The sequence below is a fragment of the Homo sapiens genome, chromosome 2, assembly GCF_000001405.40.
Source record: "Homo sapiens chromosome 2, GRCh38.p14 Primary Assembly".
Classification (NCBI taxonomy): domain Eukaryota; kingdom Metazoa; phylum Chordata; class Mammalia; order Primates; family Hominidae; genus Homo; species Homo sapiens.
This window is the reverse complement of record NC_000002.12, coordinates 66,171,727-66,199,427: the sequence shown is the minus strand read 5'-3', so window position 1 is coordinate 66,199,427 and position 27,701 is coordinate 66,171,727. Positions and strand designations below refer to the sequence as shown.

Here is a 27,701-nt window from a genome sequence, read left to right as displayed (position 1 = left end):
CTATTCCCTGTTCCGTGTTCAACATGCTAGGCTGGGAGAGGCGGACTTGTGGTCCTTAAGCTCTACCTACTGAAGAGTCCCTTTCTCTGACTTTTCTTGATTAATCTGCAGATTTCCCCAGAGATCTTTTCTTCCTTCTGTCTCCTGTGTTATGGCTTTGGTTGCTCCAAAGTTGGTGGGTTATTGTTGACCCAAAAGGCAACTTAAAAGGCACCTGAGGAATGAAAATAAAAGAAAAGGAACCACAAATTTACTTTGCAAGCAAGGCCATTCTTAATAAGCAGTGGCAGATTAGAGCCTGGTTGTGAGAGCCCTGGAACCTATTATTCAAGTCCATGACTTATGTAGGTCAATGTAAATAACCCCAGGCATAAAAAGGGGAATGTTTATGATGGGTGAGGCATCCAATTCAAGTGGATGGTTCAACATGCATTATAGTGTTTCAAGCCAATTTTTAACTGAAAAAAAAAAAAGCACAAAGATTGGGATAGCAACTGAACCTCACTCCTTAGTGTAAAGGAAGGCAGTGGGATCACTTAGACTTCCTAGGAGTGTCATTGTTGCCGATTTTGGCAGATTTTCCATGTCCCTTTGGGTACTTTCAACGGAGACAATCTGCTTTGGTGCCTTGGTTATGGACTCATGCTTTCAACAGTCAAGTGTATCAAATACATGGTTAATTGGAAGAGAACTGATCATGCTTCATTTTTAATAGTCTTACTAATCTAGTTAAATAGTCTATTAGTAACTACAATTATTAATCTCTTTTAAGGTGTGTTCAATTACAAGATGTAAAGATGAAATTCTACTTGCTAGTAAACTGTTTGCTAATTGTTTACTCAGTGGCTTATACTAATTGTTGCTTAATACAAACGGTTTAAATAGAACACTTCTTTCAACTCATTGTTCATATCTAAACAGAATCAAAAGCTCTTCCACCAGCTATTTTTCTTTAACTCCAATTGATGGCAACAACCTTTTATAGGTTGAGATGCTAGTTCCATATCCCAATGGCATAAAATAGATCGAAAGTATATATATTTTCTTGCTTAAAATTATACTGAATTTAGTATTGGCCATTGTTTTTCCCTTTTTTAAAACTTTTATTTTAGAATCAGAGACAGAGGGTACATGTGCAGGTTTGTTACAAAGCTGTATTGCATGATGCTGAGGTCTGGAGTATAAATAAATTGGTCACCCAAGTAATGAGCATAGTACCCAACAGGTAGTTTTTCACAACCTTTACCCCTCCCATCTTGTATTCCCCAGTGTCTATTTTTCCCATTTTATGACTATGAGTACCCAGTATTTAGCTCCCACTTGTAAGTGAGAACATGGCAGTATTTGGTTTTCTGTTTCTGCATTACTTTACTTAGGATAATGGTTTCTAGTTGCATCCATGTTGCTGCAAAGAACATGATTTTATTATTTTTTATGGTTGTATAGTATTCCATGGTGCATGTGTACCACAGTTTCCTTATCCAGTCCACCCTTCATAGGCACCTGGAGTGATCTCATGTCTCTGCTATTATGAATAGTGCTGCTGTGAACATGTGGGCACATGTGGTCTTTTTGGTAGAATGATTTATTTTCCTCTGGGTTTATACCCAGTAGTGGGAATGCTGAGTTGAATGGTAGTTCAACTCTCAGTTCTTTGAGAAATCTCCAAACTTCTCTTCACGTGGCTGAACTAATTTACATTCCCACCAACAGCCCACGAGTTCCATTTTCTCTGCAACCTCACCAACATCTAATTTTTGATTTTTTAATGAGAAAACAATTGCCTTTCTAAAAATGACTTTTCTGGGATAATATACACTCAGTCTCCCTCCGCCCTTCACCCTGGGTATCTCCTGTTTCTCTAACAGTTCCTAGACAAGGTCATCTGCTGATCCTTAGCTTTGGTTGTTGATATTTGGTGTCTGGATCAAAACCCATCCTACCAAGAAGATAACTGATTATTTGTGGGCCTTTTGCCATGACTGTCTGAATGCTTACATCCTTGATTGATTGCACTCTTCTAAAATTCCCTCATGCCATTATGAGAATCTGGTTTTCCTGATATCCACACTTGGGTGTGACAGAGACAGAAACTATATCAAGTGACGTGATGCTACTGATATGCTTGAACTTGTAATATCGGGTTGTGGATTAGAATGGAGTGATTCTACACCTGCCCACCTCTCATCTTTAGTTGTTTGCCCCTAGAAATTTCAACTTGATTATACTGATAAATTTATGTGAAATGTTCCCGATCATTTTTATTCCAGTGTGCTTTGGCCCTCTTTACCCTGTCTTAATTTTCTTAATAGCAATTATCACTACCTGATACTAAATTTTATATTTGTTTGTTTATTGCTTGTTTCCACCACTACATGTAGGTTCCATAAGAGTAGTTACTACATCTTCAGTATTTAGAATAGTGGCTGGCACATAGTAAGCACTGGATATATATTTTTAAAATAAATGTTGAGTGGATGAATTAGCCACAGGCAAGAAGGACAGCATATTATCAATGATCAGTATCATGTCCCCTCCATTGGAATCTTTCAGACGAAGATCTCTAGGCTGTTTTGCTATAGTTTTGCCTAACGTTGGGGGAGATGAGTGAAGTGCTGTACCATAAATGTTAAGAGCGTGGGTTTTGATTCAGATTCTCTGGATTTGAATATGGTTTTAACTCTTATCATCTGTTTATAATTTTATGCAAACTATTTAACATCTCTGTGATTCTATTTCCTTTCTTTAGAATGGAGATAACCACACCTACCTCAAAGGGCTATTGTGAAGATGAAATAAAATAATATAAAGCCCTTCTAATAGTGATTGGCTTATGGAAAGGGCACAATTAATGCTATGTGTTCCTAGTTAAGATCTAGTTGCAAATAACAGAAAACTCAACTCAAATTGACTTAAATTATAAATGGGGATTTATTGGTTCGTGTAACTGAAAATTTCAGAGGCAAGGTATGATTTAAACATGTATTGATAAAAATTCTGGTCATGTTTTTCTGCGATTTTCTATATCTTTCCTCCCTCCAGGGACTTCATTCTTCATGATAGTATGGTGATTGCAATAAACTTGGCCTCACAGCCACACTGCACATCACCCAGAATGAGAGGTTTTCTTTAAGTGCTTCCATGGAAGCCAGAGGAGGTTCTTACCTAGAAGCAAGAACTCTGACATTTCCTGGGAAAATTGGGTCACATGCCCATCCTGAATCAATCACTGTGGCCTCTGAGATGGGATGTATGAAATGTATTGATTGGCATAAGCTAATAATTTATCATTCTTCGACTGGAGGTGAAGTCAGTTTGCATTGGAACACTAGAATTTCACGGTGGAGAAATAGAAAGCCAAACAAGAATTGAGGCACTATAACAAGAGAAAAGGACAATGGATGCCAAAACATAGCAAAAGTGCTCTATTGGTGAATAAACTATAGCAAACATCTTGAGTCCTGATGACGCTGTAAAATGGGCAGAGGGAGAAGAAATTTCATCATCACCTTCACCTTTACAAAATGTTTTGGTGAAATGGTTTACCTGATGCACAGCAAGGGACAGAGGGTTTCCTCCAAGCTAATGGCTTGCTAAAACAAATTTCACTCCAATCTCTTACTCTTCAACAGCCTCTCCTCAATGAACACATTCCATTATTTTGTATTTCCTGAACTATTTTGGATGTCCTTATACACTACATGAATGAAAGTATTAATCTCTTTTAAACCTGGGTTGTATTCTTTATATATATATTTATTTATTTTTGAGACAGAGTCTCACTCTGTCACCCAGACTGTAGTGTAGTGGTGCGTTTTCAGCTCACTGCAACCTCCACCTCTCATGTTCAAGAGATTCTCATGCGTCACCCTCCTGAGTAGCTGAGATTACAGGCCTTCACCACCATATCCAGCTAATTTTGTGTATTTTTAGTAGAGACAGGGTTTTGCCATGTTGGCCAGGCTGGTCTTGAACTCCTGGCCTCAAGTGATCCACCCGCCTTGGCATCCCAAAGTGCTGGTATTACAGACGTGAGGCACTGCACCCGGCCTGTATTCTTAATTTTATAAAATAAAAGCATCTTTTGCAATCACTTCTCTTATATACAATGAAAACCTCTAATTGTGAATGGATTTAAATTGAGAGATGATATATTTTATGTGATTTTTTTTCTTATAAATCCTGTGTGACTTTGTCAAGTTGCATAGATATTGAAATAACCATAATTTTATCACAGTGACAAGGTACACGACATAGTAGAGCATCTTGTTTTAGAAAATGTTCAGGCCATTTCTTATTCTTGATTTTCTGTTGTTGTTTTAATGATATGCACAAAAGACATTGTTTTTATTGTAACCTTATGTATAAAACACTGTTATTGACATCTGAGGATTAAGTTTTAATTGAAGTAAGATTTCAAATAGTCTATTATCTGTGATCCCTATATAATGATCACAAAGACATCCTAGAGTAGGCAATGAAACAGATAAATATGTTGAAAAGACAGCTAACAGCTCCATTTAGCTCACCCATGCTTGCCGAACTTGACACACACAATTTATCCCAGACTGATGGAAAGGGAGCATAAAATATAGCCAGATTGTGATACTGTATGTCTCGCCGATGGTGCTTCCTTAGGCTGAAAATCAGGTGTCTCATATGCCCAGTCATGGTATTCCCATAACTGTGGATGGGATTTTTGGCCCAAGTTTATCATATTTTTTGATTCTTTAGTTTGGAGCTTCCCTGAGAACAAGGTTAGCAGTAAGTCCCTCATCTGTATAACATCTTGGATAAAATGAGCTTCAATACGAAGAGAGAGTAGGGAGCCATCCATGACTAAACCCAAATCAACTCCTAAGAGAGAAGTGAGAAGTGAATTCAGCAAATATTTAACAAATGATAATCATTTGTGACAGTGATTGTAAACAATGGGAAGTAATTAGATTTGCTGTAAAGTGGCTCTCATGATGTTTCAGTTTCTAGAATTTTTTTTTTTTACATCTCTACTCAACAGTTTTGCCTGGGGAACATGCCCAACAGAATTCTGCTCTGGGCTGATCAGTCTGAATTTGAGTCTGTTTTCAAAGGTGATTCAACAACTTAGGTTTTCAATAGCCAACCCGTGGCACTGGACAACCCTTGGATTACAGCTTGAGAGAGAGTAGGAGGCCAGACCACAGCTGCGGCACTGTCCATTTTTAATAGAAACAACAACCCCCTTCCATGTGTGTCCCCCTTCCAGACCTCCAGCCAGCCATCCACTCCCTACTTCCCTGCTAGGAAGTTGTCTGAGCTAAACTGGGCAAAAGTGACTCCACATTGTAAGGCAAGGTCCTGTCAGCAAGATGCCAGTAAAGGAAGCCTCTTGTGAACATGGATTGGAAATAAAATTACCTGCTGCTTCTTGTTTATTTAGGACTGCAGAGACACAGGAGTTGACAGGCTGTGGAGGAGGAGCTCAGGGGACATCAGGGCCTGGGCTCCAGTGTGGGTTTCATTGATCTCACCCCAATGGTCCAGGATGTTCTTGCTGCTGCCGCTCATCCCCTTGCATTCGCTTTTCCTCTGTTCCACAGGTCTCATTTTCTACCCTCACCTAGTTAAGTCAGGGTGGAGGTAAAATTTGCCATATAGAAATAGCAATTTGAAACAGTCTCCTCAAGTAAGTGAAATGAGCAAAAGGTCTTTTCTTTTGCTTCCCGAAAGAGGACATGATGATAAGGACATGGAGACAAAGATGCTATGAATAGGCGAGATCCTCCAGGTAAGCCTTTACATCACGTGAGCCGTGGGGGACAAGAGTTACCGTTGGGTCTCATGTTCAGATAAATCTGAATATTGGATAGGAAGGCTGATTGTAAGACCTAGATAAGACACTTTACTCATGGGTGGTGGGGGCTGGGGGTGTAGACACAAGAGAAAGAAACGTGTTTTGCTTGCTTGTTTCCATTTGCTTTCTTGGAGAGAGTTCACCTGCTCTCTAAGGCAGGAGCTCACGCTCTCTAAGGCAATCAGCTCACCACCTTCACAGGAAAACATTCTCTTCACCTGTCTTCTCCCTTGACTGTGCCACTCTCCCTGAGAATGTGGCTCTGCTGTCTGACCTCTGCATTGCCCAGGAGGTCCCCAGGAGAGCTCTCAAGGATTCTTGAATGGACTGAAATGTTTTGTGACCTGCAGCCAAGAACCAGGGCAGGACAGAAAGCATAGGCTTCTACTCAACAGAAGTGATTGAGGCTGATTTAAGGCAACCTCAGGATTGCTAAACACAAAGTGACATCCTTCAGCCCAGATCACTTTTCCCTCCTCTACCTGGAAAATGCCTTGTCAGTCATCAAAACCCAGCTCAACAGCCTATTTCTCTGACAGCCTTCTCTGCAATCTCCCATTTGGAGTTGCTAGCACATTTCCCCATTACAGTGATTCTCTCCCCTTCCTGCACTGTTTACCTACATGCTTTCTCTAGCCGGACTATGCATCTTTAGAGAAAAAGAGGTCCTGTCCTATTCGTGTTTATGCTCCCCAAGCCTGGAATAACAATATTGTTGTTGAATGATGATGATAATGAAAGCTATCACTCAAATAGTACTTACTATGTACCAGCCATTGTTCTAAGTGGCTCACGTATATTCACACATTAATCTTTACAACGATCCTGTAAGGCAGCTTCTGTTATTTCACTCCTTTTACAAATGACAAAACCAAGTCCTAGAATGGTTAAATAGCCCTTTAGATGTTAGATAATATAACCACACAGCTTCCTAGGGTTGGGACTGCTGCTCAGAATTTTGGCTTTGTTTTCTCTACCATTTGAGCCCAAAAATGATTTTTCATGAGTGAATGAATGTACTGGAAAAGGAACCAGGAACAAACGCCACTGAGAAATGGTTTGGATTATTATTTTTTCCATGAAATATAGTTATACAGGCCATATTTTGTTTTCAAGCTTTTGGTCTGACAAAAGATTGATTTTTTGATTAATTAATTTCTTAATATAAATGATATTAGAGAAACATAAAAAATAAATACTATTTAGTCATAAGTAACATATTAGCATATATAACTGTGTGTGTATATATATGTGTGTATATATATATGTATTTAAAATTGGGAACATAAGGCTACAGTGAGTATGGAATAAAATACTCTCAAACATAAAAGTCATTCAGATCATCTACCAATCTCATGTTTATATCCCTTCTACAAAACATTCATTAATAATGATCATCCAGGCCAGGTGCAGTGGCGTGTACCTGTAGTCCCACCTACTCAGGATGCTGAGGTGGGAGGATCCTTGAGCCCAGGAGTTCAAGGGTGTGCTATGCTGTGATTATGCCTGTGAATAGCCAGTACACTCCAGCCTGGGCAACATAGGAAAACCACATCTCAAAAAAAAAAAAAAAAAAAAAAGATCCAACCTTGGATTCAACTCCCATAGGGAAGGGAAACTCCCTACTTTTCAGAATAACCTATTCCCTCTCAAAATGACTCCACTGTTGAGTTTCTTCCTTACACTGAGCTGCAGTTAACTGTAACTGACTCTGCTAACTTCCTGGAGCATCTTCCCACTGGTTCTAGTAGGAGGCAAAGTGCAGGGCTAGAAGACGTCTTTGGCTCTCTCTTTGCTATATATTTCCAAGTTATTACATGTTGATCCCTTTGTCTTAAAGGAACCAATCTTTAGATTTTACTCATTGTATCCATATCTTACTGCTTGGCATTGTTCCATTGTCTTGAGTTTTCAGGACCTAGAAAAGAGGAGGATGAGACTTCTAAAAAAAGGCAGACATGACAAAAGATCTGTAAATCACATAGACTGATGAGACTTCTAAAAAAAGGCAAGACAGGCAGACATGACAATAAGATCTGTAAATCACATAGACTGATGTGTCTCAAAATTTAAGTTTAACATGCACACAAATCTCCTGGGAATTGTTAAAATGTAGATTTTGACAGTTGTTCTGACATACTATCTGAGATTCCAAATTTCAAATAGGTCCCGACTGATGCTGATACAGTTGGTCCAGCAACCACACTTTGAGAAACAAAGAACTGGAACTTAAGAAGGTGTGAGACTGTGCATTTGCAATAATTCTCCTGATCCTGGCATTTTCCATGAAACTAGCACCCCTCCTTATGCAAGAACTCTAGTTTATTCACTTCACTCACAGCAGGCTTTCTCAAACTTTAATGGGTATAAACAGTCCTGTGGGGGAATTCTTTTAACATTCAGATTGCTGGTCCTTTCTGGATACGCTGATTTGGTAGGGTTGCATTTCTTTTTTTTTTTTTTTTTTTTTTTTGAGACAGAGTCTCACTCTGTTACCCAGGCTGGAGTGCAGTGGTGCAATCTCAGCTCACTGCAACCTCTGCCTCCCGGGTTCAAGCAATTCTCTACCTCAGCCGCCAGAGTAGCTGGGACTACATGCACCTGCCACCATGCCTGGCTAATTTTTTTGTATTTCTAGTAGAGACAGGGTTTAACCATATTGGCCAGGCTGGTCTTGAACTACTGACCTCATGATCCACCCACCTCGGCCTCCCACAGTGCTGGGATCACAGGTGTGAGCCACCGTGCCCAGCCGAAATTTGATTTTTGTAACACGTGTGTCCCCACATATGATTTTGATGCAGATGGCCTTTGGCTCAGGCTTTGGGAAACACTGCCTGGAATGAATAAGTTAAGTGGAAACACCAGTTTTCTACACAGCTCATCATTCTTAATCATCAGAGTGAAGGATGTCAACTAAATGGTGACCATATTTTGTAGGGTTTAGTAATGAAGGCTCAGATTGACACTGTTAAGTCAAACTACTCTGTCATAGCAACCAGGACATGCCCCAAGAATGCCTCCCTGACTGGAGAATATAGTCTATATGCTTTGATTACAAGAAAACTTCAATAAATAATATATTCAGAGAGCAAACAATGTAGTGGACATATGGATACCACTGATCATTGGATTTGCTGGGCCAGTGCACCTGTGTTCTGCCTCTTAACAAATAGTATCTTCATAAAATAGGATGATGCTACAAGGCCCATGCCAAGTTAGTAGCACTCTTGTTTTAATCTGGACAATTAGAAAATCATCCAACTCCCTTAGAAGCCAGAAGAAACTTAGTCACATTTGAAAATACACTAAAACCATGAACTCACAGCTCTGTTTTCCCAATATGTCTTCTTCCCATAGGATGTGAAGGGAAAAAGTAAGTGAGGTCAATGTTCTTAACTAAGCCCTGGAAATAAACTGTCCAAGTGTTACCTGTAAGGATTAGGGAGAACTCTTCCAGGGAAGGAAGAGTTAGTGAGAGATGTACTCTCTGCATAAAGGAGCTGAGACCAAAGACGCTTCCATGTTGATTTCTTGAGTTCTTGAGATGTTGAAAGGTGAGTAGAATTTCTGCCATAAATATTTCTCAGGAAACCCATAATCCAGTTTGCTTTCCGCTCAAACAGGCAAAATTCCACAGAGCTCAAGCATATACTAGGTACAGGGAATGGGCAGAATGTGAATTTTCCTATTCTAATACTATGTGTGTATTGCCAGAGCTCTTGGCTCACTCACACATGCTTGCATAATTATTATGAAATGACCTTGTTGTGTTGAAAGCTTGCTAAGGCTGTGGTAAGATGATGAAAGGAAATCTATGCTGCCTTAGGGAGAAACACCAAGGAGACACACATTTTCAATGTGGATTGTGTGTGTGTGCATTTCTGTGCTGACTATGTGTTGGAACAATGTGACTCATGCTATCAGGATATCAGGCAATGTGCCAGTAATGTTTGAAAATAAAATGGCTAGGAAAATTACTGCAAAATACAGATGTGCTTATGGCAATCTTTGATAAATGATATGCACATCTACACATCAGCAGAGTGTGTAGCATATCCACTCCCAGATCCTCATAGATGAGGCATGATGATTGGATATGGTGATAGAGGATCAAAGGGGTTATTGGGACAACCATCCTTTGACCTTTGCAAAGCAGACAAATATTCAGCGTTGCATAGAGACATAACAACATACGATGACATGGAGACTTTTGTAACAAGACACAGATGGAAACAACCAAAATGGGCCCAGCTTTGCCCCCTTGATTCGTGGCTGTGGCTTCATCTCTTTTCTTCAGACTAACTGATAGTCCTTGCTCTTATGAGAATCAATAGGCTTTTTAAGAAAGGATTTCCCTGGGACAATACACCCCAACTCTTACAGCTAAGATTACTCAAAAGCTAAGGTTAAGTGGCCTATTTGAAAGTTACATACAGTTAGTGGAATGCAGGTCAGGAAAGTTGGGGATAAGGCTCTAAATTGACACCTCCTACATTGGCTCTAGCCATCCCCATCATCTATGTACAAGAGTATGCAGAATTTGTGTCACCCCATTTAATTAACCTTGACACATTTATTCAGATGACAGATTTCCAAGCTGCATCTCCTACATCCTCAGCCCCTAGCCTGGAAAAAAATAAATGATCAGAACAAATTTCTTACAATATTTGGAGAATGAATGAGTGAATAAATGAGTCTTTGTATGTCAGTTATCTTTTCAGATTCTCAGTAAATTCTTATATCAATGTATTCTTTTCACTATAAACTCATTTTGAAAAATATAAACTGTCATTTAAACTTCTTTTACATACACTGCAATCAGCTATGGCTCTACCACTAGCACCATCATGATGACACATTCTTAATGCCAACAGAGACTACCATCAAAACCATTCAAATTCAGTTTCACATTCCAAGGGTCAGCTTCTCAGGAGGGCCAATTACAATTGATAAGTAATGCCTCCGGAGGCAATACTTATATAGACATTTTATAATCCATTTTCTCCAAAAGTAGTCTTCCTGGTTGGATTATTAGCAATGGCTAAAGCTGTGGTTAAAATCAGCAATGATATGCTGGGAAAGCTGGCTAGCTATATGCAGAAGAATGAAACTGGACCCCTACCTTTCATCATATACAAAAATTAACTCAAGATGGATTAAAGATTTAAATGTAAGATTGTAAACTGTAAGAATCCTAGAAGAAAACCTAGAAAACACCATTCTAGATATCAGCCTTGGGAAAGAATTTATGACTAAGTTATCAAAAGAAATTGCAACAAAACCAAAAGTTGACAAGTGGGACCCAATTAAACTAAAAAGCTTCTGCACAACAAAAGAAACTATAAAAGACAACTTACAGACTGGGAGAACATACTCACAAACTATACATCTGACAAAGATCTAATATCCAGAATCTATAAGGAACTTAAACAATTCAACAAGCAAAAACAAATAACCCTGTTAAAAAGTGGGCAAAAGACATGAACAGACACTTTTTAAAATAAAACATACAAGCAGCCAACAAACACATGACAAAATGCTCCACATCACTAATTATCAGAGAAATACAAATCTAAACCACAATGAGATACAATCTCATACTAGTCAGAATAGCTATTAAAAAGTCAAAAAACAACAGATGCTAGCAAAGCTGCTTAGAAAAGGGAATGCTCACACACTGTTGGTGGGAATATAAATTAGTTCAGCCACTATGATAAGCAGTTTGGAGATTTCTCAAATAACTTAAACAGAACTACCATTCAATCCAGCAATCCCATTACTGGGTATATATCTAAGAGAATATAAATCATTCTACCAAAAAGACGCAGGTACTCATATGTTCATCACAGCACTAGTCACAGTAGCAAAGACATGGAATCAACCTAGTCGCCCATCAATGGTGGATTGGACAAAGAAAATGTGGTACATATACACCATGGTATTACACAGCCATAAAAAAGGAGATTGTGTCCTTTGCTGCAACATGGAGGCAGTTGGAGGCCCTTTTCCTAAGCATATTAATGCAGGACTAGAAAAACAAATACCACATGTTCTCATGTAGAAGTTGGAGCTAATCACTGGATACTCATGGACGTAAATATGACAACAATAGACACCGGAGACAACTAGAAGAGAATGGGAAGAAAGGAGGGGGACAAAGGTGGAAAAACTAACTGTTGGGTACTATGATCACTCCCTCAGTGACAGGATCAATCATATCCTAAACCTCAGCATAATGCAATATACTCAGGTACAAATCTGCACATGTACCCCCTGAATCTAAAATAGAAGTTGAAATTATCAAAAAAATAAAAAACCTTCCATTGCAAGAAAAAATCAGCAACCACTAATTATGTGATATCTACTGTGTCTCCCATCCTGGTCACACACACGCATACACACACACACAGAGCACAAACCATGCCTCTGTGTTTTCTAATTCATTTTCTGATTTCTGTTTCCCTTCTCCTCAAATGTGATGCATTATTTTAACCCTAAATGATTATTTTCTGCCTCTTGTTCAGTTGTCTTTCTAGTGTTCCTGGTTATTATCTGCTAGTACTGGCTACCTCATAGCACAGAATGTACCTTATTTTCCTCACCAGTGGGTGTGCATAGGCCGAATTTTAAGATATAAATTTAATTAACACAGTTTCTTTTCTTTTGAGCTCAGAGTAGCAGCATCAGGACTGTGGGGCAAATGTAGAAACAGATGTCTCCAGCCTTTCTCACTGTTTCCAGGTTAATCCAGCTTGTTCTGAATTGAACTGGAAACTCTGGCTGTCCCTGAGTTTCCTTTGGCTTCCTATTGGCTCAGGGCCTGTGCTACTTCAAACTGAGCAAAATAAAACTATATGAAGAGTGGGCACCATGGAGATCAAAGTCTCTGTCTTCCTCGTTTACACATTAGCTCACGTGCCTCTGGGGGGGTGTGTGTGTGTGTGTGTATATTTGTAGCGATGGAGGTTAAAGCAAAAGGGAGGGAGACTTGAGCTTATTCTTCATTCATTGACATTTGCTAATGGCCAGATTTGCATGGTTTTTGGAAAGTAATTTTGCAGCCTGAAAGTCTTTTACCAACAAGATGATACATTCTATCCAATCTGAATCAGATGCACTAACTGAACATGTCCTTGTGATACTCTGTGATGCTGATTAGAAAACCCAAGAACAACAGAAAAATCTGTCATCCCTGTGGATACCAAAAAAACATAATCCAAAGGTTAGATTTGAAATTCTAAAAATATTTTAAATTTAACTATTCAGAATCTGTACCTATTCGTAATATAAGTTGTGGGATATATCACACGAATGTAAGTGTGTCTGAAACTCTGAAAATGTATCTCATCTCTATGGTGATGTCACATCAGTTTTCACTTATCTGTCGACAATCGGTGTTCTCAATATCCCAGTGCAGGTTTGCATATAGAAGGCAGAGTGCAGAAAGGGGAATTATGTGGTGAGAGGCCCAGGCAGGTCTGATGTGGTGTAGCTCAGCATGCAGGGGAGCTGTGGCCTAATGAAAGCCGAGAGCTGTTTCTACTCAGCTTCGTTGAAGTGCTTCCTTTGGGATCCTTGGTCCAAAAGGAGATGGCCCTGACTCCCACCTACCCCTGCTTAGAAAATGTAAACCTAAGGGGTTCCTGCATGGCCCAGATTTGGGAGTCTGCTTTTTGGTTTTCTTTCTTTTGATGCCAAGCGTGATAAAATAAATGGTAAACGAACTCTGGTTTCTTTATGAGGCTCGCCTATTCAGGTTGGGACAAGCACTGCGTGGAATACTCCACCCGCCCCTCCGAAGCACCATCTCCACCCTTAGCAGAGGCCTCAGGACTGCTTCAGGTGAGCGACTTTGGCTTATTTCATTTCTGGTCTCCACTCCTGCTTTGCCCGGAGAGTATATATGAGGCAATCGTTTTCTACCTCTCATGATGAGCCAGTGCCCTAGAGAACATTTCCTAACCCAGCTCCACCCTGCCTGAGAGTGAGTTTAACCCCAGAAAATTCCTTGAAGAGGTCTCAAAGAAATCCTAATCATCCACCCCAGAGAGAAAAGATTCTAACTTATGGATGGCAGGCCACGCAGAAGGGATGTGATATAGGAAAGTCAGAAGGAATGCAATGTAAAAAAGTCACCCATCCCTCTTGATGTTGGACTTAAGGGCATTTAATGCAGTTTTTTAAATGAACACATATTCTCCACACCCTCTTTCCTCTCCCTGTCCCCATGTGCTTACATTTTCTTCTCTCTTTTTTATATAAACACACACCCCAATACCATAACCACTACCACCACTGGTGCCATGTAGCACATTCATAAAGATCCAGATTTACATCCTGTTGTGCCATTTGAGAGCTGTATGGCTTTATTCACATTATTTAACTTCCCATGCCTCAGCTTCCTCCAATGATAAGAATAAACACTAATATCTCTCTCATATGGGATGCTGTGGGGATTAAAAGAGGAGATAAAGTTTCCGATCTAGAGTTTGGCCCAATGCCTGGTGCTTAGTAAATGCAAATCTACCTTCCCCTCACCTCCTGCTTTTGTTTCTCCTTGAGTAAATCCTATAAGCTATCCTCATAGCCACTCATTTTCAGAGGTCTTCCTATCATGAACTGAACTTCTTTCCTTGCATCTGAATGGATTCTGACTTCTTGTACTGGAAGAGTCACATACATTCCCTCAATTGCCTGCTCCTCTCCTTGATAGTCAGATGTTTAAAAAGTTTTCCTCCTTTCTCACCTCAATCTCTCCTGCTTCCTTTTAAAAATACCTACATGAAAATGACATTTAGCTGGAAGCCCTTTCCACAGCAAGACAGCCTTTCCTCTGGATCTCTGGGTAGCCATCTAAATGTAGCCTTCACAGATTAAAATCGAACACCACTAAGGGGCTCTTCAGCAATGGCTCAGCTGCTTTTTCCTTTGGGGTCCAGGGGCTGTGTTCCCTGTATGAAGATCCCTTTGACTTCAACAAATTGAAATAACACCTATTTCAAATATATTATTTGATGAAAGCAGATGTCAGCAGATACTGCCTATGTAATTGATATTTGATTTATTCAAGATTTATGCATGCTGTGCCTTAGATTTATTAATGATAATCCCCAGCTCTTGTGTTTAATATAGTGGAACCAAAACATAATTTGCTGGGATCAGTCAGAAATGCATCAAAGTGATTAACTCTACATGCAAACCATTATCCAGTGACATCCCTACTGTGCACAGAGCAAAAGGAGGCAATAATACAGTAATTGGCTTCATTTATGCAAGTTAGATATTTGCCGTAATTGCTAGTAAAATTTGGTCCCTTTTATCTCTGATTCTGCATCTCCATATCCCTTCTCATCCTTTGATGCTCCTTTTTCTGGCAAGATTCTCCTGAAATTAGCAGACGCACATGTGCACGCAAGCATGCATATGCGCGCGGGCGCGCGCGCGCACACACACACACACACACACACACACACACACACACACACACACCATATCACTCTAGTAATTATGTGCTAAGGAAGGTAGAGAGTCTTACTAAAACAGGGAGGGTAACTGCCTTTCTCAGGAGGCTCACTAGTGGGGCACTGCCTCTGGGGTGGACGATTGGCCACCTATCTCTCCCAGCAAAGGAAGGTGGTGCATGGCCAGCAAATGAAAATCATATCCCAGTATTGTTTTCTATCCACATCTATCCCCTGTTTCCATACCCAGCCAGGCTGCAAATCCATAGCTCTCTTGGAGTGAAAAATCAGAGCTATGCAAACCAGCACTAAGATGACTTTTTGGGGGAACATGCCTGTTATTATTTCTTTTTTCACATAGCACTCTCAGAGTCATCTTTTATACATGTGTCTTTAAACACTTCACTATATGCATTACAGTAAGGTCCTATTCTTTTATGTTTTTGTGTTGTTTCATTTTGCTTTTGCTAATTAAAACTTAATTGGATGGACAGCCCTTTATTATAAGACTATGTCTTTTCTACTTAAAAAATATCCTTTCTGTTATGAACCGATGATAGATGAGAACAGTTTATTTTTAAAATTTGAAAGTAAAAATAATATACACATGTGACAAAATATAAAAATGTGTGAAATGAAAAATGGAAGTCACCTTTCTCTGCCCTCTAGTCCCTCTCCACCATGGTAATAATTGCAATAGCTTCTTGTGCAGCCTTTCAGAAAATGTAAACAACATACCTACATATATATGCACCATGTGCTTTTCATTTAATGTTCTATCCTGGAGATGTTTCCCTGTTTGCATGTGGAGAGCCACCTGACTCATTCTCATTGCTATCGATGATCATTTTTAATTGTTTAAAGTGCTGCCTGGCCTGACAATGATGCACAATGAGCTCTGTACTTGAACATCATTTAAAAATTCTTATTTTTTTTTTTTTATTATACTTTAAGTTCTAGGGTACATGTGCACATTCTGCAGGTTAGTTACATATGTATACATGTGCCATGCTGGTGCGCTGCACCCAGTAACTTGTCATCTAGCATTAGGTATATATCCCAATGCTATCCCTCCCCCCTCCCCCCACCCCACAACAGTCCCCAGAGTGTGATATTCCCCTCCCTGTGTCCATGTGATCTCATTGTTCAATTCCCACCTATGAGTGAGAATATGCGGTGTTTGGTTTTTTGTTCTTGTGATAGTTTACTGAGAATGATGATTTCCAATTTCATCCGTGTCCCTACAAAGGACATGAACTCATCATTTTTTATGGCTGCATAGTATTCCATGGTGTATATGTGCCACATTTTCTTAATCCAGTCTATCATTGTTGGACATTTGGGTTGGTTCCAAGTCTTTGCTATTGTGAATAATGCCGCAATAAACATACGTGTGCATGTGTCTTTATAGCAGCATGATTTATAGTCCTTTGGGTATATACCCAGTAATGGGATGGCTGGGTCAAATGGTATTTCCAGTTTTAGATCCCTGAGGAGTCGCCACACCGACTTCCACAATGGTTGAACTAGTTTACAGTCCCACCAACAGTGTAAAAGTGTTCCTATTTCTCCACATCCTCTCCAGCACCTGTTGTTTCCTGACTTTATAATGATTGCCATTCTAACTGGTGTGAGATGGTATCTCATTGTGGTTTTGATTTGCATTTCTCTGATGGCCAGTGATGGTGAGCATTTTTTCATGTGTTTTTTGGCTGCATAAATGTCTTCTTTTGAGAAGTGTCTGTTCATGTCCTTTGCCCACTTTTTGATGGGGTTGTTTGTTTTTTTCTTGTAAATTTGTTTGAGTTCATTGTAGATTCTGGATATTAGCCCTTTGTAAGATGAGTAGGTTGCGAAAATTCTCTCCCATTTTGGAGGTTGCCTGTTCACTCTGATGGTAGTTTCTTTTGCTGTGCAGAAGCTCTTTAGTTTAATTAGATCCCATTTGTCAATTTTGGCTTTGTTGCCATTGCTTTTGGTGTTTTAGACATGAAGTCCTTGCCCATGCCTATGTCCTGAATGGTAATGCCTAGGTTTTCTTCTAGGGTTTTTATGGTTTTAGGTCTAACGTTTAAGTCTTTAATCCATCTTGAATTGATTTTTGTATAAGGTGTAAGGAAGGGATCCAGTTTCAGCTTTCTACATATGGCTAGCCAGTTTTCCCAGCACCATTTATTAAATAGGGAATCCTTTCCCCATTGCTTGTTTTTCTCAGGTTTGTCAAAGATCAGATAGTTGTAGATGTGCGGCATTATTTCTGAGGGCTCCGTTCTGTTCCATTGATCTATATCTCTGTTTTGGTACCAGTACCATGCTGTTTTGGTTACTGTAGCATTGTAGTATAGTTTGAAGTCAGGTAGTGTGATGCCTCCAGCTTTGTTCTTTTGGCTTAGGATTGACTTGGCGGTGCGGGCTCTTTTTTGGTTCCATATGAACTTTAAAGTAGTTTTTCCAATTCTGTGAAGAAAGTCACTGGTAGCTTGATGGGGATGGCATTGAATCTGTAAATTACCTTGGGCAGTATGGTCATTTTCACGATATTGATTCTTCCTACCCATGAGCATGGAATGTTCTTCCATTTGTTTGTATCCTCTTTTATTTCATTGAGCAGTGGTTTGTAGTTCTCCTTGAAGAGGTCCTTCACGTCCCTTGTAAGTTGGATTCCTAGGTATTTTATTCTCTTTGAAGCAATTGTGAATGGGAGTTCACTCATGATTTGGCTCTCTGTTTGTCTGTTGTTGGTGTATAAGAATGCTTGTGATTTTTGTACATTGATTTTGTATCCTGAGACTTTGCTGAAGTTGCTTATCAGCTTAAGGGATTTTGGGCTGGGACAATGGGGTTTTCTAGATATACAATCATGTCATCTGCAAACAGGGACAATTTGACTTCCTCTTTCCCTAATTGAATACCCTTTATTTCCTTCTCCTGCCTAATTGCCCTGGCCAGAAGTTCCAACACTATGTTGAATAGGAGTGGTGAGAGAGGGCATCCCTGTCTTGTGCCAGTTTTCAAGGGGAATGCTTCCAGTTTTTGCCCATTCAGTATGATATTGGCTGTGGGTTTGTCATAGATAGCTCTTATTATTTTGAAATACGTCCCATCAATACCTCATTTATTGAGAGTTTTTAGCATGAAGGGTTGTTGAATTTTGTCAAAGGCTTTTTCTGCATCTATTGAGATAATCATGTGGTTTTTGTCGTTGGCTCTGTTTATATGCTGGATTACATTTATTGATTTGCATATATTGAACCAGCCTTGCATCCCAGGGATGAAGCCCACTTGATCATGGTGAATAAGCTGTTTGATGTGCTGCTGGATTCGTTTTGCCAGTATTTTATTGAGGATTTTTGCATCAATGTTCATCAAGGATATTGGTCTAAAATTCTCTTTTTTTGTTGTGTCTCTGACTGGCTTTGGTATCAGAATGATGCTGGCCTCATAAAAAGAGTTAGGGAGGATTCCCTCTTTTTCTATTGATTGGAATAGTTTCAGAAGGAATGGTACCAGTTCCTCCTTGTACCTCTGGTAGAATTCAGCTGTGAATCCATCTGGTCCTGGACTCTTTTTAGTTGGTAAGCTATTGATTATTGCCACAATTTCAGCTCCTGTTATTGGTCTATTCAGAGATTCAACTTCTTCCTGGTTTAGTCTTGGGAGAGTGTATGTGTCGAGGAATTTATCCATTTCTTCTAGATTTTCTAGTTTATTTGTGTAGAGGTGTTTGTAGTATTGTCTGATGGTAGTTTGTATTTCTGTGGGATCGGTGGTGATATCCCCTTTATCATTTTTTATTGCATCTATTTGATTCTTCTCTCTTTTTTTCTTTATTAGTCTTGCTAGCGGTCTATCAATTTTGTTGATCCTTTCAAAAAACCAGCTCCTGGATTCATTAATTTTTTGAAGGGTTTTTTGTGTCTCTATTTCCTTCAGTTCTGCTCTGATTTTAGTTATTTCTTGCCTTCTGCTAGCTTTTGAATGTGTTTGCTCTTGCTTTTCTAGTTCTTTTAATTGTCATGTTAGGGTGTCAATTTTGGATCTTTCCTGCTTTCTCTTGTGGGCATTTAGTGCTATAAATTTCCCTCTACACACTGCTTTGAATGTGTCCCAGAGATTCTGGTATGTTGTGTCTTTGTTCTCATTGGTTTCAAAGAACATGTTTATTTCTGCCTTCTTTTCGTTATGTACCCAGTAGTCATTCAGGAGCAGGTTGTTCAGTTTCCATGCAGTTGAGCGGTTTTGAGTGAGATTCTTAATCCTGAGTTCTAGTTTGATTGCACTGTGGTCTGAGAGATAGTTTGTTATAATTTCTGTTCTTTTACATTTGCTGAGGATAGCTTTACTTCCAAGTATGTGGTCAATTTTGGAATAGGTGTGGTGTGGTGCTGAAAAAAATGTATATTCTGTTGATTTGGGGTGGAGAGTTCTGTAGATGTCTATTAGGTCCGCTTGGTGCAGAGCTGAGTTCAATTCCTGGGTATCCTTGTTGACTTTCTGTCTCGTTGATCTGTCTAATGTTGACAGTGGGGTGTTAAAGTCTCCCATTATTAATGTGTGGGAGTCTAAGTCTCTCTGTAGGTCACTCAGGACTTGCTGTATGAATCTGGGTGCTCCTGTATTGGGTGCATATATATTTAGGATAGTTAGCTCTTCTTGTTGAATTGATCCCTTTACCATTATGTAATGGCCTTCTTTGTCTCTTTTGATCCTTGTTGGTTTAAAGCCTGTTTTATCAGAGACTAGGATTGCAACCCCTGCCTTTTTTTGTTTTCCATTTGCTTGGTAGATCTTCCTCCATCCTTTTACTTTGAGCCTGTGTGTGTCTCTGCATGTGAGATGGGTTTCCTGAATACAGCACACTGATGGGTCTTGACTCTTTATCCAATTTGCCAGTCTGTGTCTTTTAATTGGAGCATTTAGTCCATTTACATTTAAAGTTAATATTGTTATGTGTGAATTTCATCCTGTCATTATGATGTTAGCTGGTTATTTTGCTCGTTAGTTGATGCAGTTTCTTCCTAGTCTTGATGGTCTTTACATTTTGGCATGATTTTGCAGCGGCTGGTACTGGTTGTTCCTTTCCATGTTTAGTGCTTCCTTCAGGAGCTCTTTTAGGGCAGGCCTGGTGGTGACAAAATCTCTCAGCATTTGCTTGTCTGTAAAGTATTTTATTTCTCCTTCACTTATGAAGCTTAGTTTGGCTGGATATGAAATTCTGGGTTGAAAATTCTTTTCTTTAAGAATGTTGAATATTGGCCCCCACTCTCTTCTGGCTTGTAGGGTTTCTGCTGAGAGATCTGCTGTTAGTCTGATGGGCTTCCCTTTGTGGGTAACCTGACCTTTCTCTCTGGCTGCCCTTAACATTTTTTTCCTTCATTTCAACTTTGGTGAATCTGACAATTATGTGTCTTGGAGTTGTTCTTCTCAAGGAGTATCTTTGTGGCATTCTCTGTATTTCCTGAATCTGAATGTTGGCCTGGCTTGCTAGATTGGGGAAGTTCTCCTGGATAGTATCCTGCAGAGTGTTTTCCAACTTGGTTCCATTCTCCCCGTCACTTTCAGGTACACCAATGAGACGTAGATTTGGTGTTTTCACATAGTCCCATATTTCTTGGAGGCTTTGCTCATTTCTTTTTATTCTGTTTTCTCTAAACTTCCCTTCTCGCTTCATTTCATTCATTTCATCTTCCATCGCTGATACCCTTTCTTCCAGTTGATCGCATCGGCTCCTGAGACTTCTGCATTCTTCACGTAGTTCTCGAGTCTTGGTTTTCAGCTCCATCAGCTCCTTTAAGCACTTCTCTGTATTGGTTATTCTAGTTATACATTCTTCTAAATTTTTTTCAAAGTTTTCAACTTCTTTGCCTTTGGTTTGAATGTCCTCCCGTAGCTCGGAGTAATTTGATCGTCTGAAGCCTTCTTCTCTCAGCTCGTCAAAGTCATTCTCCATCCAGCTTTGTTCCATTGCTGGTGAGGAACTGCATTCCTTTGGAGGAGGAGAGGCGCTGTGCTTTTTAGAGTTTCCAGTTTTTCTGCTCTGTTTTCTCCCCATCTTTGTGGTTTTATCTACTTTTGGTCTTTGATGATGGTGATGTACAGATGGGTTTTTGGTGTGGATGTCCTTTCTGTTTGTTAGTTTTCCTTCTAACAGACAGTACCCTCAGCTGCAGGTCTGTTGGAATACCCTGCCGTGTGAGGTGTCAGTGTGCCCCTGCTGGGGGGTTGCCTCCCAGTTAGGCTGCTTGGGGGTTAGGGGTCAGGGACCCACTTGAGGAGGCAGTCTGCCCGTTCTCAGATCTCCAGCTGCGTGCTGGGAGAACCACTTCTCTCTTCAAAGCTGTCAGACAGGCACATTTAAGTCTGCAGAGGTTACTGCTGTCTTTTTGTTTATCTGTGCCCTGCCCCCAGAGGTGGAGCCTACAGAGGCAGGCAGGCCTCCTTGAGCTGTGGTGGGCTCCCCCCAGTTCGAGCTTCCAGGCTGCTTTGTTTAAGTAAGCAAGCCTGGGCAATGGCGGGCGCCCCTCCCCCAGCCTCACTGCCGCCTTGTTGTTTGATCTCAGACTGCTGTGCTAGCAATCAGCAAGTCTCCGTGGGTGTAGGACCCTCCGAGCCAGGTGCAGGATATAATCTCGTGGTGTGCCGTTTTTTAAGCCTGTAGGAAAAGCGCAGTATTCGGGTGGGAGTGACCCGATTTTCCAGGTGCCGTCTGTCACCCATTTCTTTGACTAGGAAAGGGAACTCCCTGACCGCCTGCGCTTCCCGAGTGAGGCAATGCCTCGCCCTGCTTTGGCTCGCACACGGTGCGTGCACCCACTGACCTGAACCCACTGTCTGGCACTCCCTAGTGAGATGAACCTGGTACCTCAGATGGAAATGCAGAAATCACCCGTCTTCTGCGTCGCTCACGCCGGTAGCTGTAGACCGGAGCTGTTCCTATTCGGCCATCTTGGCTCCTCCCTCTAAAAATTCTTATTTCTAGCCTGGGGATTGGGGCCACAATTTAGAATGAAGCAGCTTCTTGTGAGGATTTACAATAAGATGGAAACACATACTGCATCCCACATTTTGCAGCAAAACCTGCATAAAATGGTCCTTGATTTCCACATTGCCTAAATGTGCCATCTGTCTTCAGGGCATCTGGTAGAATGCATCAGTATATCAGCATGGCATTCTTGATGGGAGAGGGCATTTCTGACTCCCATGCTTACCACCAGGTTTGGATTGGGGTTTTAGCATATTCAGGAATACATTAGTAAATGATGCTTACACCATCTACCTCATAGTCTAACATCACTCAGTACTAATTGAAAATGAAGTCCCCAGATGTTTTCTTGGGTTCTTCTATGGAACAACAAGAAAGATGAGCTTCTCTTTTTCTCCCCCTGCAGTATAGTCAGTATTTTGAGAAAATACAAGTATAGCTCACAGGGATATTCTTTTGTATTCTTAATGCCATTAAGGAATTGCCCAAAGAATTAAATGGATATCTTCTGATGTTTTCTAGCTCATCTTTTCAAGCATTATGAACAAGGCCCAGTGTTCTGAATAGCGTTCTGCATGGGCTAGGCCTGTCAATAAACACCCCAAGCCTTGGTTATTAAAAGCACTCTCTACTCAGCAAATCCTCAGACTCCTGAGCCATGGAGGCAGAGTTCACTCTCTGGACTCGTTTCTCTTAGCTGCTGTAGAAGCTCTTCCTGCTTCAGCAATCCAAGTGATCTATTTTTCCTGTCCTAAAAATTAATTGATTCCTGCTTCTGAGTGCCATGGACTATGAAAAGGTATGTCTTTGCTCAGCAACAGTCTATTAGACTAGATCCAGCTGGACTTACTTTGAAAGGCTCCATAGCCTGGCACAACCTGGGGACCCTGGATCTGAAGTCTGAAAGAAATTAGGACAGGCCTACTAGAAGCTTGTCTAAGACAGCCATTTAAAAATGTGAAATATGACCAGCAGTTCTTCACGGTACAAATTTTCCGACTCCCAGAAGATGAGGGAACTATTGTTATTACTGAAGGAACGGACCAGTGGACAGTTTGCAAACTGAAAACCATTGCAGGGAGTGGATCCTTAAAGCAAGACTCACTTGGGTCCAAGTTCCAACTATAAACACTTCGAATTGAGAGGTCTCAGGAATAACACTTAACCACTCTGACCTCAGTTTCTTCTGGGGAAAAAAGTCTACATTGGGTGTCATGGAGAGAATGATAATGAAGTATATGAAGAAATGTATGTTAGGAAAATGACAAATGATGCTAGCAGAGTGCTTGGCACTAGTAGCTGATGAACAATGATATCAATAATAGCAACAATGATTACTAGTCAAAAAAGTATCCACATTCAGGCCACTAGCAATTTTCTCGGGGAAAGGCTATGAGAATTTCAGATACCTATACTATATTCTGGGGGACATTTGCAGTTCAGCAGGCCACCGCCTGCTCCTCCTTTACAGCGGTTGTCTTCAGGCTCACTAGACTTGAAAACTCTCTCTATGCCTCCCGTGAGTCAGTGGTACGGAAAGTCCCAAAGAGATTGCTTTGCTTCCAATGAAGGATGTAGTTAAGGAGAAAATGCATGGAGACTCTGAATAGCAAATGCTTAATTAACTTCACAGTACTGGGGGAAATGTCTTGCCGAGGCTACTTAAATCTTGAGAAGCATACGCTCCTTTCTTGGACCTGAGTCCTTTCCTTCCACAGAGCACTGTTCATGTTCAAGTTATTGAAATTACATATGACCCTGAGTTTGGACCCCTTTGGCCTATGAAACCTCCATTACTTTTAAGCCACTCTTACACTTGAGGTAAGTTTGTAATTTGGGGAGTGTTGATGGCATTTCACTGGGTCTGCACCACACCAGGAAAAGGGTCTGCAAGGTTCCTTGGGGCCACCAAGTCAAAGATGGAAGGTTAGAGTTTGAAAGATTCATAGAAATCCGTAAATTTAGTAGCTTGGCTTTTAACTTATTTGGGATGAGTGCAAAACAGGTTTTATTAAATAAATTCCTGAGCAGGACACCAATTAAAGCAATTGATAAAACTGCAGTTACGCGCATTGCAGTGGAGGGAGGGAAGAGAATCCCTGAGATACCTCTGGGATCTGAAACACCTTTGAAGACCACATTTGTCTAATTTAATTTTCGCCTATTAGGAGAAGATGACAAGCCAGTTCTATCTTAAAGTATGGTATCCTGGGTACAGTATCAGCTTCACCCCAGAGCTTGTTAGAAATTCAAATTTTTGGGCCCACCCCAGACCGACTGGAGGCAGAATCCAGGAGTCTCTGCTTTAACAATTACTCCAGATGATTCCGATGCACGCTCACTGAAGTTTGAGAACCAGTCCCCCAAGGGCCTTTCAGTGAATATTTCAAGCTCATTTAATACAATGCAGCTTCAATAGATGGCAAGGATAGCCCTTCACACATCCCAAGGAGTTTCTGCGGTACACACCCTGTCTTGGGAGTGGTTCTCTTCCATTCAATACACTTTAGCAGCATTGCAGGGAACTCTATCATACATTGGAAACAATTCAAATGGTGGTTCTTCTAGACAAATGGCTTCGAGTCAAGAGATTTTGATCCCTATAATAGATTGTTTTAATGGATTTGGCCAGTAGCCAAACTGTTGCAATGGAATTACACCCCAAAAATAGCTATTCTAAAGAAATTATTTGTCCTTAGAGAAATAGTGAACTTAAAGAGTGATTTTCGGTTTTCAAAACATGTTTTGCATGTAGTATCTTCTCGTGTGATAATGCTGCCATCTTAATCTGACACCCCCACATAACTTTCCCTTCCTATATTTAGGAGTACAAAATCAAGAACGGAAGGGTTAGGTAAATTTTCCTAGATCACATATAAAGATAGTTGCAGAATGAATATTGGAATCCGGTTCTCCTTGGTACCTAGTTCACTGCTTTTTTTTTCTGATGAATATATTAGGCCATTTCCTGAGACATGAATTTACAACCAGATCAGTTACCTCTATGGAACTTTATTTTTTCTCTCTTTTCTTTTGTTGATAATTGATCATAATAAATTTCATAAGCCTTAAAATTGTTGAATTCCCAGTTTGATTATTAGTTAGGGAGCTTCCTGCCCTATCCCAGTAACAAGTGAGGTGTGAGGTGTTGTAACTAAGGCAACTATTCCCTTCTGATCCTATTGGTGGGCATCTGTTTCTAGTTGTAACTGGCCAAACATCCCCTTTGCAGGAAAACTAATAACCTCTTAACATATGGTCTTGAATGTGAGCCGCCAAATGACCTTGCATGGAGATTAATTGAAGGTGTTAATGGCATAGTTCCCAGCCAGGAATGTCAAAATACTGGCTTGGCCTTCTATGTACATGTTTTAAGAGGATTTGCTATTGACACTGAACTGGATTAACTTTAAATATAAAGAAAAATACTATAACTTTAGCAACCACCTGTGAAGCAAGTTTCTGTAGCAAAGAAATCTAGTGCTCCAAGCATGGTGCAGGATAACGAATTTAACATCCTTTCGGACTCCCTTGAAAAAATTCCCAAGATACAATCTTCTTAAGTGGGGGTAATATAGGGAGCAAAATTCTGTTGAGGGTAAAAAATCTATTGTATGACCTTCTCCAAGCCTCTGCTGGAAAATGCCATTAGAGATTAGAGTTGATTTATAGGTGTTCTCTCCTACTGCCCCCTTCCCTCCCACCTCACCCAGACAGGAGGAATAGGCCAAAGACCAGTGAAAAGAACTGTACTTTAAATTGCATTTCCTCAAATATTTACATAGAAATATGTTCAACTTTTAGGAAGCTGATTCAAGGTTAGTTATCATAATTATCTCATAACTTAATCCTGGTATAATATCCCATTCTCTGATGGGTTCCTTTTTTTAAAATTTCTATTTTACTACCCTAGTGCTTGAGTTCTTTTGCATGTGTGTATGTTTATTATAATTCACCTTAAGGCTGCTTGTGGGATATAGATTATAAAGACATAAAAATAAACATGGAATAATCTCCTTTCACGCATATATTTGCAAACCCATAAACTCTAACGAAGAATGAATTAGATTTTTAAAACATTGAAAATTATGTTTACTAAGCCTTTCTTTGCCCAGTTTATACAGCTATTTTGGCCAAAGGGGCCATATAAATATGTCAATTGCTGCCGGCACAACTGACTAGAAAGTAAAAATTATTAACTCAAATATAGCACCACCAATCCAATAATGACTTAGAGAAGAGATCCTTGAAATTACAATTTCATATCATTTTAGGAACTACTCAGTGTCTAGTTCTTTGAGTATTACTCTTTGCTCTTGCAACATCGCCTACATACAAATCTCAATCTTCTATATTATTATATAATATTTGTGTATATTTTCATTTGTCCTGACAAACTGTGAGCCTCCTGAGGGTAGACCTGTGTTTTATTTATCTTTTTAATACCCAGTGTTTTCTGCAATGACTGACACAAAATAGTTCTCAGTTGTTTGGGGTTTTTTAAATAAATAATTCTGTGAGGTGTGCAAATGAGATCTCAGCTACTATCTTGGCTGCAAGGAGGTTTTGTGGTATCAGTACTTACTTATCTGAGCAAGAAGAATGAAATTAACCCATAGTATCAATACCAACATTACACATTTGATTTTGCAAACTCACTGAAGCCAGTTAAGTAGTTTTCTTTAGGCCATCCAATAGCACACATTTGTGCTTATTGAGAAACATTTTGTAGCATATGAAAAAACTCTAAAAGCTTAATTATTCTTGGAAACTTAGCACATTTTGTGCTCATGTACTTGTGCCAACAAGATTCCACATGTGCATTTTAATTTTCCCCTAAATAAAATTCTCCAAATTCTTTTTTAAAAAAATCTTAACTCATTGTGTTCAGATGAAAGAAGTAGAAAACGAAGTGGGCCAGCTTTATCTAATTTTCCAAATTGAATAAAATGAAAAACAAATAAAGGGATGATGAAAAGCAAGGTATGTCTGATTCCCTTGGCTTTGCTGTTGGTCAAGCCACTCAGGTCATTCAGTTGGGTCCCCTGTAATTCTTTGCACATTTGAATTTCAACATCAGGCAGAATGGCAAGCCATTCACTGGGCAACCCAGGGCAAAGGGAACCATGCAAACCATAAAATGAAGGAATGCTGACTCCAGCTATCATTGGAATGCCAGGCTTAGGTATCTGGGAGCTGTGAAACCCAAATAGAGTTATAAAGAGATTATATGGCCCTGGATATTGCAAATACGTTATACACTGTTTTCCCTCACTAAAATGAGGCCATGGATAGATACCTCAGTGGAAAAAGCAATTAGTAGTAGGGAATGAAGTTCCGTACTTTTCTTTCCCCATTCTCTCCCTCCCAATCCTTTCAAATCTCCCTTGGGTCCAATTTGGGAATTCTTGCAAAGGCTAAA

The 27,701-nt window shown here is 40.0% G+C and overlaps 1 annotated feature.

Moving 5' to 3' along the window:
- Positions 21,363 to 21,971: an enhancer, noted in NCBI's record as "H3K27ac-H3K4me1 hESC enhancer chr2:66404589-66405197 (GRCh37/hg19 assembly coordinates)". NCBI's record gives its function as "activates a minimal SCP1, AML or CMV promoter by ChIP-STARR-seq in naive H9 embryonic stem cells {active_cell/tissue: H9 hESC(naive)}" and the evidence as "EXISTENCE:reporter gene assay evidence [ECO:0000049][PMID:30033119]".